We start from the raw sequence: 13,251 nt of genomic DNA on the forward strand, positions 1-13,251 counted from the left end.
TCATGTTTCTCTTCTTCTAATCTTCTCATGTGCTGATATCTACAATCATAGTTTAAAAATGGCTATAGCAGCTTCACACATCACTTTCTAAAATGACAAGGAGCAGGAAAAGGGGAAGGCTTTCTTTTTGCCCTCTCTCCTCTTATCAGAGAGAAAAACTTTTTCAGAAGCTCCACAAGGGACTTTCATCTCACTGGCTAAAACTAGGTCACATGTCCACTTCCAAACCAATTCCTGGCAAAAAGACATAAAAACTGGTTTAGGTCAATGACTTATTACCTCAGGTTATGGAATAAGCTCATCTTCCCTGAGCACATTGCCACTGGAACAAAATTAGGGTTATGTGACTATGTATGAAGGAAAAAAAAACAGCTCTTGTACTGGCAACAGATGATGTCTTCCATACCCTCAACAGTAAAATAAAAAATGACAACAATAAAATTTACTTTGTATTTACTTAGTATCAGAAAATGCTGTACATGTATTCATTCATTTATTCAATTATCTTACTCAATTTCCTTCCTCTGGAAAGCTATGAGAGGAGGAAAAAATAGTATTGAGAAAGAAACAAGACAAAACAAAACAAAAACCTCTATAATCTCAACATGAAATACATTTCAAGGATTTAAAAATGGAAGGGAGCATGATAATAATAATAATATGTATTTTTTTTTTACATTTTCCTCAGTCTGAGTTTTATAAAATGACTTCATTATTTCCTATTGTAGTAAATTCTCAGATAGTATACTCTGATATGTAAATGTAAGTATTAAAATTTTTCCAAAATTCAGTAATCTGAAATTGTATACTTTTACATAATCCACACCATTGCTACCTTCCATTATTTAAACCTGTCCATGTATATATAAGGTATTTTCTTTAAAAATAATACATTCTTTTGATTTTGTAGTCCTTAGCCACAATATATAATTAAAAGTAGGATGTTTCTTAATGACATAATTAGTAGAGTTCACTTTAAAACCTGATTAACACTTTCAAGTTACCAAAAGTGTCTTTAATAAACTTAGAATCCATTTTTTTACACTTTCCTATTGTACTAGGAATAAACATACTCATGAGACATGACTGAATTACCGTTAAATAGGTGAAGGCAGATTTTAAAGACTGGCTTCAAAAGACCTGCATATGAAAGGAATAATATAAAGTCCAATATAGGAAACAATTAAATGATTATCTCAACCATAAAATACCTTGTCTATTCTCAGCACATTAAAATACAAGCTTTATCTAAGTATATTGGTGATTCAGAAATATTTATAATATTCTTTACTAGGAAGAGTACATCCCTGCTTAATAAGTATTTTGGAAAAGAATAGTAAATCATAAAATACTAAGATTAAAAAAAATTTCCCATGGGAAAAAAACAAAAATAAATGAGAAAAACTAAAAGCCCAATTAAAAGATGTACTTTATTTTGCACTTCAGTAAACACTGACAGCTTAAATATATGAAGTTTTTGGAAATTAGAAGGAAAGAAAACTAATGGAAAATACAAGGAAGAGAGAAAATCATGAAATAGCCAAAGGCAAGACAATTCCGTGGGTGTGCTATGTAATTTTAAGGAACAGCATGTATTAATTTAAATATAGCTACACTAAAATAAAAATAAATATAATCAAAATAAAATAAAATTACTACATAACATAGAAAAATACAAATAAAAGAATGTCAAACTTTAAAAGAGCCCATGTTTTGAATAAATTTAGAACTCAAAAAATTTTGGATTTTTAGTCTAGTTAAAAGTCAACAAAAAATGATGTATCAGATTTCAGTCCAGTTATATGAATTTTATGGGTTAAAGTTAAGAAACTTGGTATGGAAAAGCTTTAAACATTTTTTAGTAGCAAATATAAGAGAAGATCTCTATGACATTAGGCTGAGAAAGGACTTCTTACAGGAGATACAAAGAACAATAACCACAGGAGAAGAGTGAGAGATTTACTTTAAGTTAAAAAAAAAAAAGAAAAAAAAATTCTGTTCATCAAACACACCACAGTCTGGGAATATACATTTGAAACACCTATTATCTAATGTGTTGTATGAACCACTGGCACTCATTATTTATTTCTGTTCCCTTCCACATTCTGGCCTCTGTCCCAGGGGCGGAAAGTCCAAAACTACATTGCCCAGATGTCTTGCAGCTGAAGTTGTGGATAAGATTAAAATTTTACCAGTGAGAGGCATTTAAGGGAGATATAAAAGGTAGAAGTGAGCTGAGACCATTTTTTCTGTTGATATGGTGGCTGGTAAGTAAAACTGGATAGACAAAAATGTCTCTTGTAGTCAATATCCTATGACCCTTTTTCCAATATCAAGTCTCCAGTTTTATGGAAATAATGCTGCCATGGTAGTAATAGGGATGGTGGTAGCACCAGGGATGGTGGTAGCACCATAAATTCCTAACCCCAGGATTATAGTCTCTGAGGTGTAACTGTAAAACTAATGATTTAGTAGCACTTAAATGTAAGTGAATTAAATCCTTTCTTGTTTCAAATTTCTAGAATGGTTATTGTTTACTGTGTTGAGACTGACCAGCACATCAACAAATTTTCAGAATACAGATCACATATGCACTTTGGCAATTTAATAAGAACAAGATAAGTAGAAATGGGGAAAATATATGAACAAGCATTTTATGAGAAAAGAAAACCACATAGGTAAATAAACATATAAAAATGGTCAACAATGGGAGGCTGAGGCGGGCAGATCATGAGGTCAAGAAATCGAGACCATCCTGGCTAATATGGTGAAACCCCGTCTCTACTGAAAATACAAAAAAAATTAGATGGGCGTGGTGACGGGCACCTGTAGTCCCAGCTACTGGGGAGGCTGAGGCAGGAGAATGGCACGAATCCGGGAGGCGGAGCTTGCAGTGAGCCGAGATCGCACCACTGCACTCCAGCCTGGGAGACAGAGCAAGACTCTGTCTCAAAAAAAAAAGTCAACAATATTAGTATTCAGGAAAATGCAAATTAAAACAACAATAAAAAAGTATTTAACAGTCAAAATGATGAAAATTAAGCTTAACAAGAGCTACAGGTATTAAAAGATATAGATCAATATAAACTCATAAATATCACTGGTAAGAATGTAAATTGGTACACCTATTTTGGAAATTAAGTTGATATTATATTGCAAAATTGATATTCATATAACCTATAATCCAGCAACTTCCTTCCTTGAAACTCTTGCACTTGTGTATGTTATTGAATAAAAAAGTAAGTCCTAGAACACTAGATGATACCGTTTTTATACAGTCTTTAAAAATGTAAAACTAAAAAGTATATCGCTTGGAGATACACATACCTATAAAAAAACTGTAAAAGCAAGGGAATGATAAACACAAAATTCAAGATAGTGTTTATCTCTGGCAGAGAGAAAGAGAAGGATGGGAAATGGAAGAAAAACATGGATAGATGCACCAGCACTGGCAACATTTTAACATTCAAGCTGAGTGGTAGGCTGAAAAGTTTTCATTTTATCAATATGTTTTCTAACATACATATATATTATATACTACATTATTGATTGCTAATATTGGTAAGGTGATTATTTTGTATGCTACTCCAAGTACTTACTTTATCCCTTACAGTCAGCCCTATGAAATAGGTTCTATTATTATCTCTGATTTATAGAAGAGGACACTAAAGCAGAAAGGGAAGTAACCTGTCCAGGGTCACACAGCTAACAAGTAATCGAGCCAGGAGTCAAATAGAAAATCAGCCCCGGGGTCCACATTCTTAACTATTAATACTATAGCTATCAAATATCAAATAACAAAAATAAAAGTTACCTAAGACAATAATAAAAGATAAAACCAATAGTTAATTGATTTACCTTTCATTTTCCTTGATGACATTTTCAAGTTGTAATTTCATCTCACCCACCTGTTTCTGAAAGAATAAAATATGGTGTGGCAATACATTTTGCAGACAATCAGATCTCCATTAAGTAGACCACTCACGTAAGCAATCAGATTCTGACACTAGTTTACAGATAAGAAAGACTTATTCTTTATTTATAACAAAGGGATAATTAATATGGATAATTTACTAATAAACAGAACACAATAAAACATTCATTTTAAGTAGAATATAAATAAAATAGAAATATTTTATGTAACATGGTGAGAAATGTTTATAAATGTAATTCCTATGACTTGTAGTTGTGAAAAACAGATGAAAGATATTCTGGAGTATGTCACTATAACAAATACCAGATGGTTCCTGTATCTTGAATGTATATCTTAGTTAATTCACCTCAGTTTAGGTGAAGCCCATATAAGTATGTATATTTTTCTAGTATTTCAAAAGGTAAAATGCTAACAGTAAAGAAGAAAATGGAGGTCTTTTTTAGCAGTCATTCATTCAGTTTCTGATTCACCACCTTCATTAACTATCTAAACTCTCCGTACCATACAAGGCGCTAAGGTAAACAGACATGCTCATTGAAAAATAGTAGGAAAGATGGTTAAAAAAAATCCTAACTAAAATACAAGGCAGAATAAAATGCACACCAGAAAGGGAATTAAATGAAGGTCTGATTAACGTTCTCTGAAGGAGTAAAAAGATGTTAGGATTTCAAAAGAAAAGAAAGCATTTAAAGTTGGCGAAAATATGAGTAAAAGCAAAATAGCAAAAAATAAGTAGTCAACTCTCAGTAAGTGTGAATGAGCAAATGGAGAGTGTGCGCGCGCGCACACACACACACACACACACACACACACACAAAACCCTGAATTTACATGTAAAAGCATGCAAAATCTCACTTAAAACGGTAACTAATTCATGATTGTGTATTAGTCTTGATTGTGCTTCCTAAGCTAAAGGAGAGAAGCTTATCCTGGAGTACACTTTCGCAAGGGCCAGGTGGAACAGGCAGTTCTGCCAGCCTTTTTCTCTCTCTTTCAACCGAGAAGATCAAGGAAGCTTGGTCTAGGAGATCAGAATAGCAAATTCTAACTATAAATTTGGTTTGAAAGGTGAACTTTTCCAAGGTCCTCGTTATGCCTGAAACACAATTAAACCAACATGGATTAATTCACTACCAGATAATTGAGCACTGACCATATATGGACTGATACAGTGAGAGATAAAATTGGAAAGACAGGTACAGGGTTTTAAGAATGCCATGGCAAGAGGTTTGGATTTATTGTAGCCATTATCTTAATTTTATAGTTTTTAAATAATTTTTTCCCCTAAGATGGGGTCTCACTCTGTCTCCTAAGGTGGAGTGTGAGAGCACGATCACAGCCCACTGCAGCCAATAAACTGATCTTTAAAAGTTGCAAAACTATCAGTGCATCTTAAAGAATATTTATTACTCTTAAATAATTATGTAAGATATATTCACTAGCTAAGACTAAAGATGGATTGTAACGCTCTCACTATAAATTCCTTACTGTAAAATATTTCAAAATATTTACATTTGGAAGGAAGTGAAATCCATACAGTATTTCTCACATCATCAAATTCTTCCCTACTATTTATATTTTCTGGCAGAAAATCGTCCATATAGAGAATTGCAGTGCTACTTTTCCTGCTTTGGAGATATAGTATTTTTTGACTAGGTCAATAAGTCATAAGAACTAATCCTTCTAATCAATCACATCTATCTGAGCAACCATTCTTAGCTGTCAACATTTTTTTTTCTCTAAAAGAAGGAGCAATTATTTTTATCATCAAAGACTCAGGCTTTCTAGCATAGTTTATTTTTCTCTTGTAATTAATTAAGTGATCAACCTTTGGCGGTAAAGAATGCAAAATAGAAAAACAAAGTTAAACATCTTAGTAAAATGGCTGATTAAAGAAATAAATGAATCAGATTGTAAAAAATTTAAATGAATTTAATTTCAAGATAATTAGCTATCCTATAACAACCAAAGTACATAATATGTTATTACAGGAATTTAGAGAGAGTAAATTCAGCAGCAACTTTAAATTCACTAGTCCTGAAAACAAAAGCAAAATATCATTTGTGCAAAAGAGAGCTTTCTGTTGCTCTTTAATTGTCAGCTAGGAAGATTAAAAGACATTACTGTGCTTGTCCTAAATTTAAATAACTACAGGCTAAAAAATACACAATAAAGACCAGGAAGACCTTATGATAAAACAGACACTATAATTTTAATGAAATGCTTTTATTTGACATTTGGGTCTAAAGGACAACTTTGTTTATGTATTTGAGAAATAACCTTGGAAATGAAAGCCTACATAATTTCAAATGCAGTGAAAGAACCTAATTTTATTTTTAGAAATTGGAAGCATTATGTGTTCTTTTAGTAAAGCTACATATCAATGCATTAATTGATAAATAAGGGCTTGTTAAGCTAGCTCTAATCATCTTATTCCCATAAGCCCTGGCATTTAATCATTCATTAAATATTTAAGGGCCTACTATGTGCTACACTTGAAAGTACACAGTAGGATCCCTTCATGTCCGTGCATAAAAAGAAAAGGAAGTAAGGGAGAAAGTGCTTAGTGTCTGCCACACACACAGGCTGATTCTGAGGAAATCGGTCTCAGGGGTTGCTTTAATATATTTTATTTATTTATTTTTCTGAGACAGAGTCTCACTCTGTTGCCCAGGCTGGAGTGCAGTGGCACGATCTCGGCTCACTGCAGCCTCTGCCTCCCAAGTTCAAGTGATTTTTCCTGCCTCAGCCTCCCAAGTAGCTGGGATTACTGGTGTGTGCCACCACACCTGGCTAATTTTTGTATTTTTAGTAGAGATGGGATTTCATTATGTTGGCCAGGCTGGTCTTGAACTCCTGACCGCAAGTGATCTGCACGCCTTGTCCTCCCAAAGTGCTGGGATTACAGACGTGAGCTACCACACCTGGCCAGGCTGCTTTAATAAAAAGTCATTATACTCTGTTCCATTTGCATTAATGAAAGCCAACCCTGCCACCCTTGCTACAACTGCATTTATCCAGGAATTGGTATCTAAACCAAATCCAATCATGAGTATATTCAAGCTCTAATAGAGAGAGGTCATTGCCTCCTGATAGGTTTAGCTTGAGTCATATAAGTTCTATTTAAGAAATACTTCTATTATATGGTTATCCCAGTATTAGGTCAAAATTCTAGGGGAAAATGTTAAAAGACATTTTCAGATCAAAGAAACACATTATAAATATTAGGCATACTCTAAACACGTAGCTCACTGAAACTCAAATTGTACCCTAAACAATTTTGTGCTATTATTCTAGTTCTCCATAAGCCCTGGGACCCAAAATGATAATCCATTCTGCAAGTAATGGGAGATGCAGATAGAATGAGGTAAGGAGGAAGGTCTGAAAGGATGCGAGACAGTTTTAGGTTAAAAAAAGAGAGATGTAAGCAAACAATAATGAGATTAAGAGATTCTTCTAAGCACCTAAGCAATATCTCATGCAAGATAGCAAGAGCAAGGAAACACTGAATTAAAAGACAAAACTGAAGAGAATATTTTTTTTCTTCGAGACAAGGTCCAGTTCTGTTGCCTAGGCTGGAGTGCAGTGGCTTGACCACAGCTCACTAAAGCCTCGACCTCCCAGGCTGCTCAAGCAATTCTCTCACTTCAGCCTTCTGAGTAGCTAGGACCACAGGTGCACACCACCACACCCAGCTAACTTCATTCCAGCACTTTGGGAGGCCGAGGCAGGCGGATCACGAGGTCAGGAGATCGAGACCATCCTGGCCAACATGGTGAAACTCCATCTCTACTAAAAACACAAAAATCAGCTGGGCATGGTGGCACATGCCTGTAATCCCAGCTACTCGGGAGGCTGAGGCAGGAGAATCACTTGAACCAGGGAGTCAGAGGTTGCAGAGAGCCGAGATCGCGCCACTGCATTCCAGCCTGGCGACAGAGTGAGATTCCATCTCAAAAAAAAGAAAAGAAAAAAAAAAGAGATGGGGTCTCACTACGTTACCCAGGCTGGTCTCAAGCTTCTAGGCACAAATGATCTTCCTGTCTCAGCCTCCCAAAGTGCTGGGATTATAGGCATAAGCCACCGCACCCAGCTAGAAGAGAATCTTTAAACATATGCACATATATACATTCACACACATTTACATAGGGCCACCAATTGGTTAGTTACAGCAAATATTCTCTTTCTCATCAATGTCTTTTTAAAAAGAGGGAGTCTATTTTACTTTTTATTTTCATAATAAAATATTACAAAAGCCTCATAACTATGATTTCATACCTGGTAATATTTCAGCTGCCCATTTAGTTCTCCTAGGTGTTTATCATACTCAGTAACAAGAGGAGCTAAAAAGCTAAAAAAAGACAATAAAAATATAGCATATTCTGTTCCATCTAGTTTAATAAATATATAACAAGTGAAATAAATTACACATAAAAATTTTATGTTTAGTTTACTCATGCAATAAAAACTTTTCCCTTTTTTCCAAAACCAGGAATTTTAAATATTTGCACAATTAATATTTTGGACTGAAAAATTCTTTGTTGTGGGATGGCTAGACTGTGCAATGAAGGATGTTTAACAGCATACTTGGCCTCTACCCATTAGATGGCAGCAGCAGCCTCACTTTCCATAGTAGTGACAAACAAAAATGTTTCTAGACATTGCCAAATATCTCCTGGGGAAACAGGGGTAAAGTTGCTCCTGTCTGAGAACTAATTTTGTAGACTCTGTAATACTTGCTTTTTCTTGTCAATTCAAGAACAAAGCATTTAAGTTTAATAACAGCAGACCATAAAACAAACATTCCTGATACTGAATTATGCTAATAATAATTAAATATAACGAAGAAAATGATATTATTCTGGTAATACTTTACCTTTGGTCAAATACTAGGTTTTCAAATGTGTCGTCTCCTTCTCCTTGGCAGACAGCTTTCTATAAAAGAATGTACATCTTAAAATGTGTTCTCACATCATTCTAGCCAAAATTGATAGTGATATAATATTAAATGCAATTAAATTTTCATAATCTTAGAAACTCTATTTATGTAATTCAAAATGAGAGAAAAAAATAATAATCTCAATTTATACTGAAATGCATTTGGTAAATTTAATACCCATGCACAATAAAAACCACTGGCAAATTAGAAATTTGAGGATTTTTTCTTAATTTGATAAAAATATCTGCCAGAAATCTACATCAATTATAATTTAAAGGTTGAAAAGCAAGATGGAAGGCTATTATTATTTACAATTTGGCCATTTACCTAAAAACTCAGTATAATCTACCAATTATTAGAACTAGTAAGATAATACACGAAAAGTCACCAGACAGAAGATGAACACTTAAAAAAAAAATCAGTAGCTTTTTCAAATACCAGCAATAATTAGAAAATGTAATCAAAAAAAATCCTATTCACTACTATGATAAACAATATCTGGGAATAAAGCAAACAAAAAATGGTACAGGAGCTTATTGAGAAAATTAGCTTTACTAAAGGATATAAAAGGAAATCTAAACAAACATGGTACTATAACATTAATGTATGTGTGGAATGGTCAATATTTTGAGAATGTCAGCTCTCTAAAATTCACTACAACTTCATTGCACTCAAAAATGAAGTTCCAATAGAATTATTTATAAAACTTGATCTTAAATAAATCCTAAAGTTCCATGAATAAGTATGAAAAATTAGCCAAGATAATCTCACCAAAAAAAAAAAAAAAAGGAAAAGAAAAAAGAAAGAGGGAAGAACTTGGTTACTACATAGCAAAACACCACAATGCTATAGCAATTTAAACAGTATGCTATAGGTACAGTAACAAACACAACAGTATAACAAACCCAGAAATAGATTCAAGCATTTATAGGTATGTGGTATATAAAAGAAGAAGAATTATAATTGAATGGACACAATACTGCTATCCAACAAATAGTACTGGATAGCAAAACAAAATTAGCTGCTAGCACATACTAAATGGAAAAATACAGATAAAAATCCAAATGTTGTTAAAATTTTAACAATTATTGCAAGAAAATGCATTATTGACCTTGAGTTAGACAATGCTTTCTTAACGTCACAAATGCAGAAATTTTTGTCTGTTTTGTTTGCAAATATCCCAAGCAGCGCCTGCCATACTTTTTTGCTCAAATTACATTTGTTAACTGGAAGACACCAGGAGCAAAACCTATAAATGGAAAGACTGACACATTTTACAACATCCAAATTTAAAACTTCTATACAGCTAAAGACACCAAAAGCAAAGTTAAAAGACCTACAGCATTCGTAACATGACCAGAAATTTTGTATCTATGGCATATGGAGAAACATTTAAACACAAGATGTAAGAGGTTTTTCAGTGGTGCCTTTACTATAAAACATAGCTAACAAAATGTCTTTTAACAGAATAAATAAAAAATGATACAATAGAATCCCATAAGTAGTTCAAGAAATTAATTAAATTCACATGTATCAAAATATATATATCATAAAAAACAAAGAAGTTATTTCTAGGGGTGGAAAGAAGAAAATAGGACAGAGAAGAAAGGTGCTCAAAGGGATCACTAAAAGCATCTGTAATGTTCTGGCTTTTTGAAGGGAGAAAGTATTTATGATCACATACATATTAAAGAGTAATTTAAAAATATAACTCAAAGAAGCCTCTGAATTCTAAACTTTCACTTAATTAATTTTTAACATCTTACTCTGTAAATACTTATTTACCTACTATGTGTAAGGGCCCATGGGAGGTACAGTAAATAATACAAAGATGAACAAACAATTTATAGTCCTTATCCATTGGATGGATTGTAGAGTTATAGGAAGAGAGAGGCAAATAAGCAAGGAACAATAATAATAATAAAGACATACCATGAAAGAGGCATAGAATGGTAAGAATGAGTAGATGAAAGGAAGATAATCAATACTGTTTTTATTCAAGTACTACACACATACAGAAGACAGTACAAATTATAAGTATACAGCTAAATAATTCTCACAAGGTGAATATACTCATGTAACCAGAACTCAAATCAAGCAACAGAATACAAGTACTCTTCACTTTGCATATTGGTATACGTGTCTTCATTTTGCACAGTTCTGTGGAAACATCAAATCCAAGTAAGGACAGTTCTGATACACACAAGTTTCAGTTAACATGGTACTGCAAAAAGTGAGAACTATGTATATGACCAACAACCCCCAAACCCCTAAGTCACTACCCCCAGGCTCCATGTGGGACCCAAATCCTGACTTCTAACAGCAGGAAATCATTTTCCCTATTTTAAAAACATTATAAAAATATAACCACACAGTATATTTTCTGTTATGTCTGGCTTCTTTTGCTTATCACTGGGTTTGTGAGATTCATTCTTACTGCTGTGAGTAATTTTGGTTAGTTCATTCTTACTGACATATACTATTTCACTTTACAAGTATGCCACAATATATTTATGCTTTCTATTATTAAATGAAGTATTTGGGTTGTTCATTATTTGACTATTATAAACAGTGCTGCTACAAACATTCTTGAAAAAGTCTTATTGGTATAGGCATTTCTGATGGGTATACCTATAGGTAGAGTTGATGACTCATAAGGTCTGTATCAGTCAGATCTAGAAGAAAATGTCAAACAATTTTCTGAAGTAATCTTACCCATTTACTCTCCCACAGGCAGTATATGAGAGCTATTCCACATCTTTGTCAACACTTGGAACTATGCTTTTCACTCTAGCCAGTGGATATAGTAGTATTTCATTGTGGTTTGAATTTCCATTTACCTGATAAATAATGAAGTTGAACAGTCTTTTCTACAGTTACAAAGCATTTTAAATACCCTCTTTTGTGAAGTGACCTGTTTCTCTAATGGGTAATTGTTTTAGTTATTAATTTGAAGACATTCTTCATATATTCTAGATTTTTGCAAGATTACAAATATATTCTCCATTCCATAGCTTGTCTTTTTACTTTCTTAATGATGTCTTAAAAACATAAGTTCTTTCACTTTGAAGTAGCCCAGTTTATCAGTTATTTCGTTTATGATTAGTGCTTATGTGCTGTTTAAGCCATCCTGCCTATTATAAGCTCATAACTTCTTCCCTCAAGTTTTGTTCTAAAAGCTTTACCTTAACATTTAGATATGCAATCAATGCAGAAATTACATATGAGAGTAGTTTGGGTAGAGATCAAAATTTATTTTTCTTTATTCTATATGAAAGTCTGGTATGTGTAGAGCTATTTCCAAACTTTATTCTGTTTAACTGGCTTGCTTCCTTGGCCAATACCATACTAACCAAATTACTATAGCTTTACAGTAAATATTAAGACCTGGTAGTATCTGTTTCCAAGTGCAGTTGTTCTGCAAGATTGTCTTAGCTCTTCTTGTCCCTTTTCATATAAATTTTGAAAACAAAATAGTTCTAGTTTTAATTTTTTGAGGACTTCCATACTGCTCTCCACAGTGGCTAAACTAATGTACATTTCTACCAACAGTGTAGGAGGGTTCCCCTTTCTCCACATCCTCACCAGCATCCATTATTGCCTGTCTTTAGGATAAAAGTCATTAAAACAGGGGTGATATGGGATCTCACTATGGTTTTGATTTGCATTTCTCTAATGATTACTTATGTTTAGCATTTTTTCATATACTTCTTGGCCAGTTGTATGTCTTCTTTTAGAGATGTCTATTCAGCTCATTTGCTCCTTTTTTAATTAGATTCTTCTTTTAACTGTTGAATTGTTTGAGTTCCTTATATATTCTGGACATTCATCTCTTGTCAGATAAATAGTTTTCAAATACTCTCTCCCATTTTGCCAGATTCCTCTTCATTCTGTTGATTGTTTCCTGAACAATACAGAAGCTTTTAAGATTGATATAATCCCATTTGTCTATATTTGCCTTTCTTGCTTATGCCTTTGAGGTCTTCTCCATAAAACCTTTACCCAGAAAAATGTACTGAAACATTTATGTTTTTGTCCACCAGTTTCATAGTGTTGGGTGTTACATTTTTTAGTCCATTTTGTGTTGATTTTTGTAAAAGGGCCCGCATCACCAAGTCAATCCTAAGCCAAAAGAACAAAGCTGGAGGCATCACGCTACCTGACTTAAAACTATACTACAAGGCTACAGAAACCAAAACAGCATGGTACTGGTACCAAAACAGAGATATAGATCAATGGAACAGAACAGAGCCCTCAGAAATAACACCACATATCTACAACTATCTGATCTTTGACAAACCTGAGAAAAACAAGCAATGGGGAAAGGATTCCCTATTTAATAAATGGTGCTGGGAAAACTGGCTAGCCATATGTAGAA

The 13,251-nt window shown here is 33.5% G+C and overlaps 1 protein-coding gene across 14 annotated transcripts in view; it reads right to left on the bottom strand.

Annotated features, from left to right (window-relative positions):
* Nucleotides 1-13,251, bottom strand: part of SCLT1 (sodium channel and clathrin linker 1) — a 220,299-nt gene that overhangs the window by 161,942 nt on the left and 45,106 nt on the right. For 12 of the 14 annotated variants that reach the window (XM_047449590.1, XM_017007717.3, NM_144643.4 and 9 more), the window contains exons 3-5: nt 8,811-8,869; nt 8,213-8,285; nt 3,859-3,914 (exon numbers count right to left, since the gene is read on the bottom strand). In XM_047449590.1, the coding sequence (XP_047305546.1) occupies nt 3,859-3,914; nt 8,213-8,285; nt 8,811-8,869 (188 nt within the window). Of the gene's footprint in view, nt 1-1,411; nt 2,945-3,858; nt 3,915-4,010; nt 5,031-8,212; nt 8,286-8,810; nt 8,870-13,251 lie in introns of those variants that run through there. The other 2 variants (NM_001300898.2, NM_001300897.2) reach the window with 2 other exon arrangements.

This window comes from Homo sapiens, chromosome 4, assembly GCF_000001405.40.
Source record: "Homo sapiens chromosome 4, GRCh38.p14 Primary Assembly".
In the NCBI taxonomy this organism is placed as follows: Eukaryota; Metazoa; Chordata; class Mammalia; order Primates; family Hominidae; genus Homo; species Homo sapiens.